Consider the following 18980-nt stretch of genomic DNA (forward strand, 5'->3'; position numbering starts at 1 on the left):
AACCAAAGGGTGAGGAAGTCCCCCAGGCTAGCAAGAACAGGAAGCCATTACTACCCTCAGGCCTACAAGGGCAAGGGAGGTAGCAGTCACGCAGCACCGGTAGCTGTGAACACAGGAGAGGATAAACAATAGGAGCTGTGGCCTTCCATGGAGGGAAAAAGTCACTGCCAACCCATGACCAAAGAGAGAAAGCTGGAGAAAAAAACTCCCCAAGCTCTCTCCTCCTACTCTCAGGCTTCCTTGTGGTGACTCTCATTTGCTTAACCCAACAGAAGATAGAGGACAAAGGAGCCCATTTGATGTAGTCGACAGAAGTCAAACTCCCAGGACAAGAGGAGCAGAGAAGGATGGAGAATGAATTAGAGAAGTAAACAAAGAAAGTCGGCACATCTACTGTCATCAAAGACTGTGTAATTCCACTATTTAATACATGTACAATAGAGATGTGTGTATATGTGCACCAGAAGTCACCTACAAGAATGTCCACTGCAGTATTATTCTCTCAGTTAAATGCTATATCTGGCTGCACAACTAGATTAGGACTGAGACCCTAACCACACATGTAGAAGCAGGGAGAAAGATGCAGTTGAGAAGCCCTTTGCCATCTGATATGCTTCCAAACAAGGGAAACTCAGCTTGGACACTGAAAGCATTTTGTATAAAATACTGTTTGTATGATATCCCCATGTCACCACACACACACACATACAGACACACACACATACACACACACACAACAAAAACAAAAAAAACTTCCAGGGTTACTTTTCTCCTCAGTTAGCAGGTCAAAACTTTTCACGTGTGAAATACTTTTGCAAGGAGGCAGATGAAACGGGGGAGAAGGGATAACCTTGCCTTGCAGTCATCTATCAATTCACTGCAAGGAAGGAACACAGAGCTTAGATATGAAGCATCAGGAGTTCTTCCCAAGACCCTTCTTGTCCCTTGGGAAGAGCCAGGAGCTGGAGGGGATGGCCTTCACTGAGAAGTGGCATCAAATTAGAACCTGCACAACAAATAGGAACCAGCTACTTAAAGATCCAGAGAAGTAGCCCTCTAGACTGAAGGATCAGCTCCTCAAATATCCTTTTTGATTTTGAACTCACAAGTTCAGGGGCATCCGAGGAACAGACACAAGCCAGGGCTGAACAATCTCATCTGTGTCCATGAGGTGGGCAAGAGCCAGATCCTACTGAGGAGTTTGAACTTAATCCCAAACATGGCGGGAAGCCATTGGGGCCAAAGATGAATTAGGGATTGTCTGATCTCCTTGACACGTTCTGAAGGTTTTGTGTACAGAAAAGGTTTGTCAACATGCACAAAGGAAAGCTGGGATAACCAAGCTAAGACGCTACCGCATCATTCTAGGGGACGGGTGACTCATTCCAGGAGTTTCTGCAGGAAGACCTATCAGGACTGGTGATTGACTGGAGGCAGAGAGCACGAAAAAAGAACAATCAGAGATGATCTGTGGTTTGTGGTTGTTGTGTAATGTTAAGGCTTAACAACTGCGAAAATAGTGTTTTTACTTTACAGAGAAGAAGACTTGAAGAATACAAGATTGGGGAGAGCAGATCGGGATTTGTACTTTATATCAGACGTGCTCATAGATATACATGTTGAGATATCAGTTGGGAGCTGGATATATCAGGATTCGAGACTGGGAATCACCAGTTTATAGATGGTTTTTAAGCCATGTGATTGGATCTCATTTCTTAGTGGGGAGAAGTGAGATAACAAATAAAAGCCAAGATTAAAGCTGAACCTTCAGCCTGCCCATCACTTAGAAGCCCAGCAGGGACAGAAGAGCCAGCCGACAGCACAGAGTCGAGGAGGAGGATTTCCGGGCTTCAGTGAGTGTGCATCAGAGATTCATGGACACAACTTAAAGTAAGACCAGCCACACAGTTCCCTTCATTTTCTCAAGCAACATTCAGCATCTCAAAGTGCGGCTACTACACACGGAGCCAAGCCCTGGTCCAGTTATCACAAAACCTTACTAGATATGTCGATTATTAGCTGCATTTTATAGCTAAAGGTAGGCAGGCACAGAGAAGTTACGTCTCTTGCCCACAGTCACAGCAAGCAAACAGACCTCAGACCAAAGTCTTTCTAACTCCTTATTTCACATCTAAAACACTATGTGACGCCACCTCCAAAAAATGTGGGGGTTACTCTAGGACAAAAGAAGCTCATGAAAGCAAAGAGAGAAGCATAGAGCTTAAATTTAGAACAATATTCAGGGTGATTGGGAAAAATAGCCTCCATACAAATATAATCGGTTCATCACCAGGTGAATAAAATGAGAGAGGAACCTGGTACAAGTGAAGTTCATTGAATTTGCTTGCAAAAAAACATAATTCAAGTGTGGAAGTTTGGAAACTAAAATAGTAATCAGCTAAAGAAATTTTCAGGCCAACTTAGACACAATGGTGACAAAGCTCCCCTGAGGAGACAGGAACTATACTACTTGCAACTCTAACTGAATGGACTTAACTTAGCAATTAAGATCACCGTAAGTTTGATCAGATAAGTATTAAAGGGTGTCTTGGGTACATTTGCAGATTCAGACACTCTTAGTTGTGAAATTCTTCACCAAAAATTTGCAACTTATGGCTTGCACATTAAAAACATGATATGAATGAAATTCAGATATCTCTTGGTAAATTTTATAATTATTCCTCCCATCAGCTAAAGTTCTCAGTATGAAGGGTTATAACTGATGTCATATACAATAACTACAAGCTGTATCATACAAAAATTGAGAATTTTCTATTATAGAAAGAGTTGCTTTAATCTAAACCTAAAGTAGCATCAATAATTTTTCGTAAGTGGTCCCCTTCCTATGAGTAAGCCCCCAGGAAAAATAAATTGCTTTTAAGAAATGCTGTAAGTAAGCTGTTTCATATATAAGTTTTGACAAGATCTGGCTACTTAAATTACAAGATATAAAATGAGATTTGTACTTTTTCTCAAATGTAAAAAAAAAGATTTACTTCTGAAATAATGGTCTTTATAAAATATGCATTTTTGTTCCTTTTTCTTATCATATCTATAAATTTACTAATAAAAGATTCTATCTTGATTTACTAACATTTGAAAAGATTGATTATATTGGTATTGCAAGAAGAGGATACCATAAATTAAAAATCCATATATTAACCATATTCTTTTATTTGCAATATGACAAATGATTGTGTAAAGTTATAATCAATAAAAGCTATTTGAAAGTCATAAAATGGATATTGCCATAACTGCTTTCCTAGCAAGGTTAAAACACTTTAACTATTTTTAATCAACTTACAGTGTAGTAGATCAAGCATATCTAAATATTTTATTTTAATCAAGCAAATATATTTCTGCTGTTCCTATGACAGTATGAAAGTTTGGTTCAAAATATTTCCAAGGTATTTAACACAGTTCAGTAGAGGTCCTGTCTCATAAATCAATTTCAGATTAGATAAAAGGAAAAAGCAAATTCTTGTTTACTTCAGAATTTTTCAAGCCAGTTCCAAAGACAGAGTTGTTACTCTCATGTGAATTTTCAGTAGAAAGCTGAACAACGACGTTGCTCTGACAATCTTTTTAAATACCATATGATGGAGACAGAATAACAAAAACAAAGTAGGTATAAGCTGTACGAAATTATTTCTCTTGGACATAAAATATGTTTGGGGAAGAAATGCATTGTTCCATATGGACTAGGGTAGTTACTTCTCAAAGTGGGAGCAACTCAGACTCTGAAAAATGGTTTCTCAAAGGAGGCATTGTGTCTGGGTGAGGCCAGTTTTCTAGTCAAAATCATTTTATTAAATGCCATTGGATTGAATGCTTCCAGGTTTGCTCTCTGAAATATGCCCTATCATTCTTAAAAAACACACTTAGGTAGCAAAAAGGGCACACTAAAAATAACGTGGGTTAATGTTTCTATCCTGCCTGTGTTTTCTAAGTAGCCCCTGCCTGAGCTTTCGACTTTTTTAAATGAACCATCAAATAGTTGGTTGTCTATCACAAATAAGCCATCTATTTTGTTATTCCTGTAACTTTTTGTAGAATCCAGAAAGTAACATTCTTGCTGATATATCTTATATAACACCAAGTCCATTTTCCAAATGAGGATTCCAATGAGTATTCATCACCAACATCTCCCCGAAAAATATTTAGAAAAAACAGACTCAATCCTTTATCCAAAGTCAGTGAGTAAGAGGCGGGGGCCAGGGTTGGACAAAAATCTCTTTGGCCAGGAAGCCGGTGGTCACCCTGATCTACTTCTCTAAGCTCCCACCCCTGATGAATGTTCAATATCTGAGTTTCACCCCACTCATTATTGTAATTCTCCGTAAAACCCCAGTTACCCACACGGAATTCTCATCTACATCTAGCCCAATTTGCTACTGGATTTCAATGTTATTTCATATGAAAACAATCACTAACAGAAAGAACCTGGATCTGGTTTCGAAAACATAATTTGAAAGGAATTCATTCTGAAGGCTGCAAAAGCCCAGTGATGGCCCATCGGTACCCTGAATGGGCTTCTCAGGTGCCTCCACTCTCCTCCGTATGTCTCCATCCATCTCAGAATACATGTCTGGCTCTTCCTGCTCATAAACAGAAACAGAGAGTTCCGGGATCCAAAGGCAAGACTGCGATTTAAGAGACACTTTGTTTTTGTAGGTGTTCAAGGATTTGGAATCAAAGCAGCAGAATTATTAAAATTAATCCAATTTTCTTGCATTTATTTTGTTAGTTCATACCTCTAAAAGATATATTTTGGAAGGCACCCTTCAACCCACCCATTTACAAATCAAAGCTTTCTTTGGAATCCCTGAGACCAAACCCAAGCTAGACAGTGACACACTGCCAGCTCCAGAGCCCTGCCCACCTGGAAGGGGTATGGAATGCACTATTTGACTTGAGCTCACATTTAATTACAGTGTCAAAAATCAAACTTAAATTGCTTTAATCAGCTGCCAACACTATGAGCCTTTCTGGCTTGAATTTCTATAAACAAAGAATAAATTCAAATCTGTCACAAAGTGGCAGCAACTTGTTGACCACTGGACTAGGAATCGTTATGCAACCATGGCTCACTGTGGAAAAAGTCAACATCTTCCTATATGTGACTCTTTTCTGATCTTTTCGGACTATTAGTCAACAGAATCATCATAAAGCTAAATTATCTATCTGCACTGAAATTACTCAGCCTCAGACATCCAAACCAGTAGCTGTTCACCAATGAAACCTGAATAAAGCTGTTGCTGACTTTCCCTGCTTCAATTTAGAGTATTTTTGGAAACATCATTGCATGTTTAAAATATAATAAGCAAAAGGACCTTTGGTAATTAAACATTCTGTAATTTAAAACTCCAAGAGACAGGAGCAGTGATAAGATATTAGATTTTCTTTACTGGGGTGAAAAAGACAGAAAGTGGTTAACTGTTTAAAAAAAGAAAGAAAGAAAGAAATCCAAGGATTTTTAGAGCCAGAAACAGTAACAGTGTCCTTTATTCTGGAAATGTTTAAAAGCCTGTAAGCAGAGATCACCCAGTTCATCCTGAGCATTGGTGAGCAAATAACTTCTGAAATGCTCTTGAAAGAGAATTCTCCAGCCTTCTCTGTTTGAAATACTTCCTAAAGCAAACACAAAAGTGGGCAAAACACAAGAGCTCATGTTAATTCCAAACAAAGAGACCAACAGTCGCAAATTGAGAGTCCATCTTAGAAGCGGGTGCTGCTTCCACATCAAGCAACTATTGGAAAGAGTAGGGGTAGATGCAGAATTAAGATCATTTGTGACTACAGAAAGAGACAAGAAAATTAATTTTTAAAACTAAAAGAGAAATTTATTTCAGATAATCCAAGGAAATGAGCAGAGTCAACCTAACAGGATTCTCAAGCCCCTCCCTACTGGTGTGGTGTGAAGATCACACGTGGTGTAGCTGACACCCCTCACATCTTCCCCGCGCCCCTCCTGCCACCTCTTTTTGGCATTCACCCTCTCTCGGGTTCTGTATCCCTGCCCATGTTCTCCATGAAAGGCCATGTTAATGCCCATGCTCTTTCCTGCCTCTAACAGACGATGCCTTCCACAGTCACTCAAGCTTTAACCCTCTTCTGGATTCGGACCTGTACATCCAAAAGCCTGCCAGACATCTCTTCCAGATGCTCTCAGAGCACATGACCAGAAGCACGCGCAAAGCTCTCCTGAGCCTCAGTGCTTTCCCTCCAACACTTCTTCCACTCTCTCAGTTACCGAGCCAAGACACAGAGTTGCTTGTGAGTCATTTCTCTACCTCATCCCCCACCCAACCTTCCTGCGAGATCCTGCTCACGTTACCTCCTAAATGCTGTTACGTGACTTCAACCACGTCAGCTTTTTATGGGGGAGGAGAGGCACCTGCATATCTGTGGGAGCACCAACCTCTAGACATCTCCTGCCAAGTTACTGCAATGTGCAGAAAAGAGGAAGAAAGCAAGCCCAAGTCGCAAAGTCTTTGCCAGTCCTTCTACCAACCACACCTTCGGTGGAGATGTGGGTCTGTGGAAATGCAGAGACGGACTGAAAGCCAAATGGGCCAATGAGAGCTCTGAACAAAACATTAAGCTTGTTTTTCTTTAAGGCAATACGATTAACAGTGGTCCATTAAGAATCCGTTTAAAAAAAATAATAATAATACTTTTTCTGACTATTGTTGGGGAAGAATAACTCCTTTATGGGGAGTATGAACTCAAAGACATGATATTGTAAAGGAGGCCTTGAAGAAGAGAGGGACTAAGAAATGTGATGGCGTGGTCTGTTACATGTGCAGGTGCTGTGTGTGAGGGAAGCACTGAGGACCACTGGAGGATGAGGGATGCTCTGTCCTTCTCGGGTATGGCTGAAGGACAGGGATTGCCCATCAAGGAGTAAATAATCCATGAGTGGACTAAATTCTTTAGAAACAGGAACTCAAATCCAGTAGGGATTAGGATAAAAATGTAAACTCTAATTTGCACCTCTCCCTCTCTCCCCTAAGTAGTCCGTTTCTATAATTTTATACTAAATCAATTAAATGTATCTGCTATAATATTAATCATAATTTTGTCTGAAGTAGTAACAACTGGAAACTACCTAAAAGAGTCAGAGCAGGACTGTAAGACTATATTGTAGTCTACACTATGTCACAGCGGACTGCATCATGATAGAGAACGATACTCATGATTTAACTGATAAACACATATGGCAATGAATAAAACTGTGAGTAAGATGTCTTTAATTTTAGCAAAATTATCTTCATTCTAATTTTCAAGTAAACTTAAAGATTTATATATAAATGCACATAATTTAATTAAAATACATGCATATATTAACTAGAAGGCTAATCCCCCAAAATGTCCATAGATGTTATTTCTGAGTGAGGAGGGTCAGGAAGGTTTTAATTTTCTTTGTACTAACTCTATTTACTAAAATGTCCACCTGGATTAACGTTATAATAAAAATGTTACCGTTTAAAATAAAATGAATAAAATACACCGGTATGAAGGTATTATTAGAACATACGAAAGTACAAAATCAAGCAGCAAAAGGAGGAAATTATATTAAGAACTGAAAAAACTATGTTGAGAATTCTGTCTAAGAAACGCTGTAGCAATTAAGAAAAATCCCAGTTCTGCAAGTAATGGGAGAAAGATGATGACTTCCAGAACTTTCACCATCTACTAAGATGTTCACCAATTCCTAAGAAGGGACTGAATACGTCTGCATCCTCAGATCTGAGAGTAATTTTCCACGACGCATACTGAGCACCATAATGAGTGAAGTCTCTGAGATGACCTCTCTGACCTCTCTAAAACAATCAGGCACTGCAAACATGGCCTATCCCACACTAGCCCTTGGTGAAATTCAAGGGCATAATATTAGACTGAAACAGTGAGAAGAAGATTCGACATGGAGTGCGGCAAGAATGTGTTCTAGTCCTTGAAGGCCAGCGCTATTCCAAGTGTGGTCTCAGACCAGCAGCCTCAGCTGCAGCTGGGGGCTTGGAAATGGAAACGTATGTGCTACGTCCTGGACCTGTGGAATCAGAATCTCTGAGGTGGACCAGGAATCTGTGTTTTTAAAACCCTGTGGTTGGTAACTTCCTGCTGGCTGAGGACAGAGAGAATGCTTAGTGAACGCTGAGGAATGACGGGTTAAATAATCCCTGAATGATTCCTGAGCGGATCAATTTCTCAGCCAGAGTTTTGACCGCAGCTGATGATGAACAGGGCTGTGACCACCAGGAAGGGTCTGAAGAGGAGGCGTTGATTGCAGTTTTCTGCCTCTGATCCTCAGGCATGGAGCCCCACCCCCCAACTCTCTTACACGGAGGCCAAAGAAAAAGCTGGAATTCTCCAGGAGAGCAGGACCTGTTAAACAGCAAAGGGCAACCCAAAATTGTATGAGTGGCCTTGCCCTGAGAAGCTTTGAAGCCAGAGGTTACTGAACAACTACCCTGGTTAAAACCCTAACGTGACAATGATAACATGTGACTGTATGTGGCTGTCTTCAAAACAGCAATGATTTAGGCACAACTGTGGATCTCAGATTGTTCCGTGAGTTTGGTCTGATAAGATTGTATGCGTTTCCCAGGGGTGCCATAACAAAGTGCCACACCCTGGGCGGCTTCCGCCACCGAAATGTATTTTCTCACAGCTCTGAGGTCGAAAGTCCAAGATCAAGGTGTCAGCAGGGCTGGTTCCTTTTGAGGCTGTGAGGGAGGATCTGTTCTAGGCTCTCTCTCCCCCAGCTTCTGGGGGCTGCTGCAGTCTTTGGTGTTCCTTGGCTTATAGAAGCATCATCCCAATCTCTGCTTTTGCGTTCACATGGCCTTCTCCTCATATACCTGTCTGTCTCCAAATTTCCTCTTCTCATAAGGACACCAAGCACTGGATTAGGGGCCCACCCTACTACATCTGCAATAACCCTATTTCCAAATAAGGTCACATTTTGAGGGACCAGCTAAATACAAAACATTAGCCAGGCATGGTGGTGGGCACCTGTAGTTCCAGCTACTCAGGAGAATCACTTGAACCTGGATTAGAACTTCACAATTACTGACACGATTCAACCCATATTAGGTTGTTTAGTATTATACATTAGGAAGCCATAGCAAACTTTTTTTTTTTTTTTTTTTTTTTTTTTTTTTTGAGACGGAGTCTCGCTCTGTCGCCCAGGCTGGAGTGCAGTGGCGGGATCTCGGCTCACTGCAAGCTCCGCCTCCCGGGTTCACGCCATTCTCCTGCCTCAGCCTCCCAAGTAGCTGGGACTACAGGCACCCGCCACTACGCCCGGCTAATTTTTTTGTATTTTTAGTAGAGACGGGGTTTCACCTTGTTAGCCAGGATGGTCTCGATCTCCTGACCTCATGATCCACCCGCCTCGGCCTCCCAAAGTGCTGGGATTACAGGCGTGAGCCACCGCGCCCGGCCCATAGCAAACTTTTGTAAACATAACTATTTATTAAAATTTGGTATAATTAATATTTAAATATCCTTTCTGGCAAGATTTAGCCAGTTTTTTAAGCTTCATTGAGAGAACCACAATATTAGCATTAATAATAGAATGGTCTATTAATTTTTTAAAAAGATACTATGTCTGCATTTCCAATATAAAATTCACAGCAATGATTCAGGTAGAAATTAAATGAGGATGTCATTGTCAACCTTTTAAATTATATTACAGGAGCAGGGAGCACACGGGCCCTGAGGTAGAAATGAATAAGGAATATTCTAGAACCACCAAGAAGCCAGTGTGGCCACAGCAGAGTGAGCCAGTGGTGCTGGAGGCAGGTGAGATCTTGAAGGGCCTTGGCAACATGAACAGGAGCTTGGATTTTATCCACATTGCCGAGGGAAGTATGAGGTGGTGTTTAGCAGGGCATAAATCTCATCTGATCTGTACTTTGAGGAAAACACTCTGACTTCTGTGTGGAGAACAGTCTATAGGAAGCCAAGAGGAGAGGCAGGGAGATGAGGGAGGGGTGACTTCAGTCTCCAGGAGAATGAGCTAGTGATGTGAATTAAGGTGCTGGTGGTGGAGGAAGTGAGGTGGAGAACTGGACACTGGGATCTATTTTGAAGAGGGAGCCTACAGAACTTGTTGGTGGATGGCTATGAGGGAAAGAGGATTAAAGAATGATGCTAGGCATTTGGGCTTAAACAAACCCCTGAGTAAATGGTTATCCTATTATTAATACTAAGATGGGTAATGCTAGGGAAGGAGTAGCCTTGGGGAGCAGTGATGAGTTATTTTCTTAGAGAGAAGCCACGTTACCTATAGGAGGCTCAACAGAGTATCAAATTAGAATAAAATATCTAATGTTCTGATTTGTGTCTTTATTTTTTCCATTAAGATACACATGGCTGGCCAGGCGCGGTGGCTCATGCCTGTAATCCCAGCACTTTGGGAGGCTGAGGCAGGCCGATCACCTGAGGTCAGGAGTTTGAGACCAGCCTGGCCAACGTGGTGTTACCCCGTCTGTATTAAAAATACAAAATATTAGCCAGGCATGGTGGTGGGCACCTGTAGTTCCAGCTACTCAGGAGGCTGAGGTAGGAGAATCACTTGAACCCAGGAGGCAGAAGTTGCAGTGAACCGAGATCACGCCATTGCACTCCAGCCTGGGTGACAAGAGCGAAACTCCGTCTCAAAAATAAAAATAAACAAAAACCATGGGAAAGAACAATTGAGGAAACTGGGGACTTGTCCTGGAACAGAAGACACGAGGACTTTTGGTTTTTTAGTTTTGTTTTTGTTTTTGAGACAGAGTCTTGCTCTGTTGCCTGAGCTGGAGTGCAATGGTGCGAACTCAGCTCACTGCAACCTCCGCCTCCTGTATTCAAGTGATTCTCCCACCTTTGCCTCCTGAGTAGCTGAGACTATAGGCGCACACCACCATGCCCAGCTAATTTTTGCATTTTTAGTAGAGAGAGGGTTTCATCGTGTTGGCCAGGCTGTCCTCAAACTCCTGACCTCAAGTGATCCACCCGCCTCGGCCTCCCAAAGTGCCGGGATTGCAGAAGTGAGCCACTGCGTCCAGCAAGAATGAGGTTTGAAGGGAGGCATGATTGTGTTCTCTTCAAATAGTTGAAAGGTTCCATTTGAAAAAGGGATTTACTTATTCCTATGGTTCTAGTAAGTTGCAGAGGGTGGATCTAAGACCATTGGGTGAACTTTACAGAGAGGCCAGAAAGCCTTCTCCAGGGGAAGAAAGTCAAGAAAAGGTCTCAAAACTGTCTGGCAGAATTCTGCACAGGAGAGTCCTCAATTCGGTGTAGAATTGGCAAGTATAATAACTGTAAATCCCTCTCAATCTACCATCTACATCATTAGGCGACATCTTCATTTCCTGAAAATTCCAACACATGAAGGCTCACTTACTATCAAGATGAGCAAGTTTGTGCTACATAGTGAATTTGATTTCAATAGGACTCATTTTATACCTTTTAAGAGTCTTTAAAACGTTGAAAATGTAAAGATCTGCAAGAGCAACTGATCTTCAAAGTCCCGTCGAGTCACAGGATTTTGTAATGATGTCTAAAGAGGAAAATTCCCATTTCAGAAAAGGCTCAATAGTATTTAATAGTTAGCTCAAAAGGACGAATAAAGTTCTACATGGGAAGCTGCTGAACTACAGTCAGGCCAAACCTTCATACTCGGAGAAGATGACTGGGCCTGTAGACACAGATATTGATGATAAATCATCACAAACCACAGCTTTCCTTAATTGGGGTGGTGGGCAGGGAGAGCAGGCTTCAGGTTGGCCTTCCTCCAGCAAGGGCACACACACAAAGGGGACCTGAACACGTGGAGCTTATGGTCAGGAAGCCTGAAGTGCCTGACCCAGCACATCTGGTGACTAGTAGTGTAGATTCCCCACAGAAGGAATGACAAGGCGTCATTATTCAAAGTGACCTTCCCTCCATTGGAATAATCAGAAACAGCTCACAAATAAAGTAATCTGTAAGATGCTTCATCTTCTCTAGGTAACCTCTCCCCAACATGATGACATCACTTCACATGAGGCGACATGGTTTTGTGAGGACTTTTCTTTCCTTCCAAGTTTGGAATCTGGCTGAAGGCTAAAATCACCATTTACAGTGTTTGAGCCCTCCTTCACACTTTGAAGAAGGGTCTGTGTAAATAGCCATTCCTACTTCTCAGACTCGCCAGAGGCAAAACCTGTTTTGCTTTGGTAGTACACGCTCTTCCTTAACTGGTAAAAGACTTTAAAAAAAAATAAGATGCCATTTTTAATTGTTTCATAAATCTGGCTTAGATATATTAAGGAAATTGCTATTTTATATGTAGAACAGCGGCAAGCAAATCTCAAGAGATTAAAAATCATGTTCTTGTGGTTTTCTTTTAGAAGCTGCAAATTTGAATTCAATTTAAAAAATCATGGCACAGGGACAAAATAAGAATGAACAAAGATGGGAAAAATGTCCGCAGCATTCTGCAGAGTCAAGCGCTGCTGTGAGTGAGTGTGCATGTTTCCAATTACACATCAGGGCTTGGCGAGCTCCAGGAGTCAAATTCAGACAGAACCCAAGTGCAGTGCGTTACACAGAACCCAGGCCAGGAAAAGCTTCACAGAGTCTTTCTTTCAACTGAGGCAATTGTGTAGACAATTTGGTTCATTTCAAGAAAAAAATAAAACTGACAGAAGAAAGAAAAATATTATTATATTTTGCCTCTCAAAACAAAGTCAAATTGTGTTGGTGTATAAATCAAGATTCAGTATTTCCTTGGCTGCTTCCAGAATAATAGTAGATCACAAAGAGAATAAGAACAAGAAAGTTCAGTTCTCAGCCAGACGATCCAAGGTAACAAAGGGTGAGACCCTCATTCCGTTACTCACAGGAGCAAACAGACAACCAATAATAATTGGGCACATGGGGGTTTCAACAAGATAAACTGTTATGTGAGTCCAGGGTGCTAATTTCTGGATTCTTTTGAGTTGCAAGGAAAATATATACCGATTCCCCACCCCCACCCACCCACATAACAAGACACAATAGTTAACAGCTGGAAGACTGTGGTTAGGGGGAAATGTGATTGTAGGCTTCCATTTCAAATGATGGAAAATCATTTCTGAAGTCACTACGAAAGTTACTTCACAAAACTAAAAGAAGCCTTGACACCTTGTGTTATCCCATCATCTAAAGCAATTCTAGTTTGGAAACACTTGATTCTTGGCAGGGGATTCTAAAGAAGGTGCCGTATGTGAAAGGCTGGTGTGTCAGAAGGAGCTTTAAGGAACTGGAATGAGAACAGCCAAAAGCTAAGATTTCTGATTATAATCACAGGTCTGGATGTGTTCAAGGTAAAAAGAGATCATCCCCATCATTTGCAATATTTTCAAGAGAATGGGGCTTTAGTGACACTGATCAAAGTCTGACATGGATTTTCAGCTGCCTTCCAACTCCACATACCTGCAATTCAATGATCTCTATGGATAGTAGAAGTAACTGCCACCCTGATGTTCTCATCGGTGATTTATACGTGAAGTGGACTCAAAAGAAATACAACGAAATCCCTTAATAAAAATTATGTCCATTGACCCAACAAGCTTCCCAGTGCTGTATCAGTTCTCAACCGATTTTAGAGACATTTGGTCAAAAATGATCTACTTGTAATAAGCCATCTGAGGGCACTAGCTCTTTTTCACCTCTGTGTTCCTTGAAGCAGGAAGTCAGTAAAATCACTATTGAATTAAAATGAAGTAAAGCACTTTGAGATTTCAGATTTCTAAATTAAGGAACACACAACATACGGTACTTTATTTGCACAAGAATTATTAGAACCCAGGGCTAACACCCAAATGAGGTCACAGGTAAATGAAAATCTGTCTCAGTTATTTGAACTCAGGTCAACACACAGACAGAGCAAAGCACCAGCTGACCTCTGATGCACAACCCAGTGTTCTTACCATAGAATTCCAGAAGGCATCTCAGTCATTCTCTTATGTAAATACAAAGACGACAACTGGTTTAAAAATTCATTTATTTTTATTTTAGCTTCTTTGTGTCAAACTCAAAGAAGCCTCACATAAATGATCAAAGACTTTTTGGTGGATCTTCCAAACGTACATGCCGGGAAGGCCTGCTTGCACTTTTTCCTTCAATCCTCTAAAATGAAGGTTTTGAAGATGCTTGCCAATGGAACGTTGTGCCTTACAGCTATAATATTTTTTAAAAGGCATTCAGTTTAAATTAATATATTTGGCCAGACAACTGTATTAAAATTCTTGTTGTTTTTTCTGTTATAATGGTAGCCTGTGGTATGACTAGTCTTCTTCAAAAATATGTACAGTTATTGCTTCTCTCTTGCCTGGGGTATATCATGTGTTTTTCATTTGAGTGTACATTGCAATACCTCATTAAAACCAACACTTAGGCTACACAAAAGTCTTCATATCATGCCGCAAAGGGCGTAAACTAACGTGGAAAGTTTCAGAGCCTCATAACTCATTGCATATACCTCTTATACTAGCTGCTCAACTGATATTTAGCTCTCCTGGATGATGTCACAGTTTTTATCCTCTTAAAATAGCCTGCCTTCAGAAAATATATAGTTTCCTTCATGCACTAATCATGGGGAGTTACGATGTAAATAGAGCCATTTTTTTTCTTATACAAGGAACAAGTGCTCTCACCCTCCTCCCTTCTCTCCCTCCCCATACACAGAAGCACACTTCACTTCACTTATACTAAACACTTCACTTATACTTACACTGCAACAAAGAGTTGCAAATACATGCAAATAAAGCCTTTATAACTCCCCTCTCTCCTGCTGGACAGCTCCTTGACTCAAGTATTTCCGAAGACAGACACTCTGATAAGGGTCTGCTCTGAGCTTCATTCTCAGCATACAGTCCTGGGATTATTTACCTACCAATATTCACCTCTGCATGAACCAGTAAGTCATTACTGACAAGAAAAAAACAATTTGTGATTTTTTTTAATGTCACAATTTTTCTTTTTAAGGTTTGGGAGAGAAAGTTGTTTTGAATGTTTCATCAGTTTCTATTGCCAAATGAACACCTGTTTCAGAGTCCCTGAAAGTCACACATCAGAAGCTTCTGACTTCAACATATAGTCTGCTTTGAAGAATTATTTTAAAAAAGCATTGACTGCTTGAAGATAAGCAAGTGACACTCAATAGCTTCATTCTTTAGTCTTAGAAAATAATTTTTACACTTCACACCTATTAGGATGGCTACTATGAAATATAAAAAAAATTAAAAATAACAATGGTGGCAAAAATATGAAGAAATTAGAACCCTTGTGCACTGCTGGTGGGAATATCAAATGATACAGCCTCTATGGAAAACAGTATGGTGGCTCCTCAAAAAATTAAAAATAGAATTACCATATGATCCAGCAATTCTACTTCTGGGTATATATTCAAAAAAATTTAAAGCAGGATCTCAAAGAGTTCTTTGTACAGCCATGTTCATGGCAGCATTACTCACAATAGCCAAAAGGTCAAAGCAACCCAATCGTCCATCCACAGATGAATGAATAAACAAAATGTGGCATACAATAAAATGTCATTCAGTCTTTAAAAAGAAGAAAATTTGGACACATTGTACAATATAGATGAATCTTTTTTTAAATTAAAGTGGTTTTTTTAATCGTTTTATTTTAAAGTTCCGAGGGACATGTGCAGGATGTGCAGGTGTGTTACATAGGTAAACGTGTGCCATGGTGGTTTGCTGCACCTATCAACCCATCACCTAGGTATTAAGCCCAGTATGTATTAGCTATTTTCCCTAAGGCTCTCCCACCCCCACCATCCCCCAACATACACCATAGATGAATCTTAAGGACATTATGCTGCGTGAAATAAACCAGTCACAAAAAGACAAACAGTGTATGATTCTACTTATGTGAGGTACCTAGAGTAGTCCAAGTTCAGAAAGTAGTAATAATGGTTGCCAAAAGGTGGGAGCATGCAGAACACGGGGAGTGTTGATTGACATCAAGTTTCTGTTTTGCAAGGTAAAGAAGTTCCAGAGATTTGCTGCACCAACAATGTGAATATACTTAACACTACTGAACTGTAAAGTGGTTGTGACTACAGATTTTATGTTTTATGTGTTTGCCACAACCAAAAATAAAGATTAAATTAAAAAATAAAAGATTTTATAGCACCTATCACTTACCAAACCCACTGTACATCTTACACTCGTGAATATTTTATGATTTTCAAAACACCTTTATTTTTTTCCCTTATTTGTTCATTCCTTCATGTATAACCCACAATGTGTTAGGTTATGTGCTGGGCAGCCTGGAAGACCCAAAGACGAATTAGGGAAGTACCCTATATTTAAAGCCTTGCAAGGACATAAATATCAGTAATATAAAGTAAAATATGTTCACTGCTGAAAACTGCTATACTTCCTAGATTTTTCAATTCAATTGCAATTTCTAATATTTTGCCATGTTGATCCCACAAATTCACTTGTGTTTAAAAGTTAACGTGCTTGATTATCATACAGCTGCTTCTTTCATAAGAGGAATACAGATAAAACGCTATGGGATTTCAGGGGGAGAAAGAACTTCTTATTAAATTCATATTTTCAACCAATAAGAAAACACAATTTTTTTTAATCAACACTATCTTCTTGGTGCTTTTTTCACATCTCATCCTCTTTCCTCCTTTACCCTGCCTAAGCAACCATTTCTGGACCCAATCTTGGGTTATTACATCTGACGGCAAGTGTTATGTGGGCCATGGACCATGAGCAATTAGCCCCCTCTCTACTCCTAGGGATGGAGTACATGTGATGATTTCCATCAGACTCAGATTAAATATCTTGCTGGTAAGTTACCCCTAAAAATCGATTAATGGACTCTCCAGGTAGACACTGAGGTAATCTCCAACCAAACCTGACTTATACTTAGGGGCTTTGGAAGCCCACCAGAGTCATCAAGCCATATCTCCACCTAGGCTCTATACTGGAAAGCTGGTCAGTAGTAACACAAAGAACAAGCCATTTGGGAAAACAGCCCACATGAAAAGAACTGTGGTTTCAAGAAGAGTCATTCCATCCCAGGTTTAAAATACTCTTCTCCTCTTTATCTACCTTGAGGACTCCTATCTATCCTTCCATACCAGATCCAGCCTCATCTTCTAAGTGAAGCCCTCCTCTGGGACGTCAGCGTCTCCTCTGCATCCCCTAGCATTTTATGCATCCTCTGTTAAAGCAACTGTTTGCACAGCTGTATCCACCACTAAACTTAGAGGCAACAGACCATGGTTTTGAATGTGTAGAACCCAACACAGAGCCCGAGACCTAGTGGGTATTCAGTGCATGTTGAAGGGAAGAATGAATGCATGAGCAAACAAGACAATGGAAGTCTGTCATCAGTATTTACATTTCAAAATGCAAAGTGAAAATTGTGCAAATCTCTAATCAAGCTGTACTTTAAAATGCTAAATTGATTTGGCTAAAAATATTTCAACACTGAAATTTCTTTTTGCAAGTTAAGTCTTCGCATAACCAAAACAGAAAAGAACGTATCAATGAACTAAATAGATAAATTTATGGCTGACAAAATCTCAAGATTTAGTGTGTGAGAGGAAAGTAAAATTCAATGTGTCCTTGAAAGTTCTGGGGTCTAAGATATACAGGCCAATGGAATAGAATAGAGACTTCAGAAATAAACTATTGCATATATGGTCTGATAACTTTTGAAAGTGGTTCAAAGATCATTTAATGAGAAAAAAAGGAGTCTTTTCAACAACTGGTGTTGGGAAAACTGGGTATACATATGCAAAAGAAAAAAGTTGGGCTCTTACCTTATACTATATACAAAAATTAACTCAAAATAGAACAAAGACCAAAAAATAAAAGCTAAAACTCTAAAATTCTTATGAGAAAACTCTAAAATGCTTAGGGAATAACTTCATAACACTGGATTTCACAAGCCTGTCTTGAATATGACACCAAAAGCACAGGCAACATAAATAAAAGAGACAAATTTGCCTGCACTAAAATTAAACACTTTTGTGAGTCAAACAAGCTATCAACAAAGTCAAAAGACATCCTATAAAATAAGAGAAAATATCTGAAAATAATTTATCTAATAAGGGATTAATATCCAGAAAAAAAAATATATATATATATGTATATAACCTACAACTCAACAACAACAACAAAAACAACCCAATTTAAAAATGGGCAAAGGACTTGAACAGAATTTTTTCCAAAGATAACACTAATGGCCAATAAGTACATGAAATTATGCTCAACATCACTAATCATTGGGAAAATGCAACTCAAATCCACAATGAAATACTTCGTAGCCATTAGTATGACTATTACCAAAAAATCAGAAAATTACAAGTGCTGGTGGAGATATGGAAAAGTTGCAAATCTTATGCACTGGTGGTGGGAGAGTAAAATGGGAAAGTCACTATAAAAAACAGTCTAGTGATTCAAAAATTAAAAATAGAATTAACATATGATTCACCAATTCCGCATGAAGATAGCAGGAAATTGAACTGATATTTGCACATCCATGTTCATAGCAGCATTATTTACAATAACCAAAAGGTGGAGGCAACCCAAGTGTCCATCCACAGATGAGTGGATAAACAAAATGTGATATACACATATCATGGGATATCTTCAGCCTTAGAAAAGGAGAGAAATTCTGACATATGCTATAACACAGATGGACCTTTGGAAAGTTAAGAGATTGTCTTATTTATCTTACGCTAAGAGAAATAAGCCATCCACAAAAGGACAAATGCTGTACGATTCCACTTGTGTGAGTTACCTAGGGCAGTCAAATTCACAGAAACAGAAAGTAAAATGATGGTTTCCAGGGGCTGAGAGAAGGGTAGAATGGAAAGCTATTGTTTAATGGGTTGGAGTGTCAGTGTAAGAAAATGAAAAAAGTTCTGGAGATGGATGATGGTGAGTTTTGCACCACAATGTGAATGT

General features: G+C 39.8%; 1 protein-coding gene and 1 long non-coding RNA gene across 9 annotated transcripts in view, besides 1 other annotated feature; one reads left to right on the forward strand and one right to left on the reverse strand.

The window, feature by feature from the left end:
- Positions 1-3659: part of a mitotic recombination region, noted in NCBI's record as "ERG recombination sub-region recombines with the TMPRSS2 recombination region. This represents the genomic range from 26 different ERG genomic breakpoints.", that runs on past the window's edge. NCBI's record gives the evidence for it as "EXISTENCE:nucleotide sequencing assay evidence [ECO:0000219][PMID:23447416]".
- Positions 1-18980, reverse strand: part of ERG (ETS transcription factor ERG) — a 294523-nt gene that overhangs the window by 152037 nt on the left and 123506 nt on the right. The window lies entirely within an intron of this gene.
- The window catches only part of LOC105372802 (uncharacterized), a 39782-nt gene that overhangs the window by 15480 nt on the left and 5322 nt on the right, over positions 1-18980 (forward strand). The window lies entirely within an intron of this gene.

Source organism: Homo sapiens, chromosome 21 (genome assembly GCF_000001405.40).
Source record: "Homo sapiens chromosome 21, GRCh38.p14 Primary Assembly".
Classification (NCBI taxonomy): domain Eukaryota; kingdom Metazoa; phylum Chordata; class Mammalia; order Primates; family Hominidae; genus Homo; species Homo sapiens.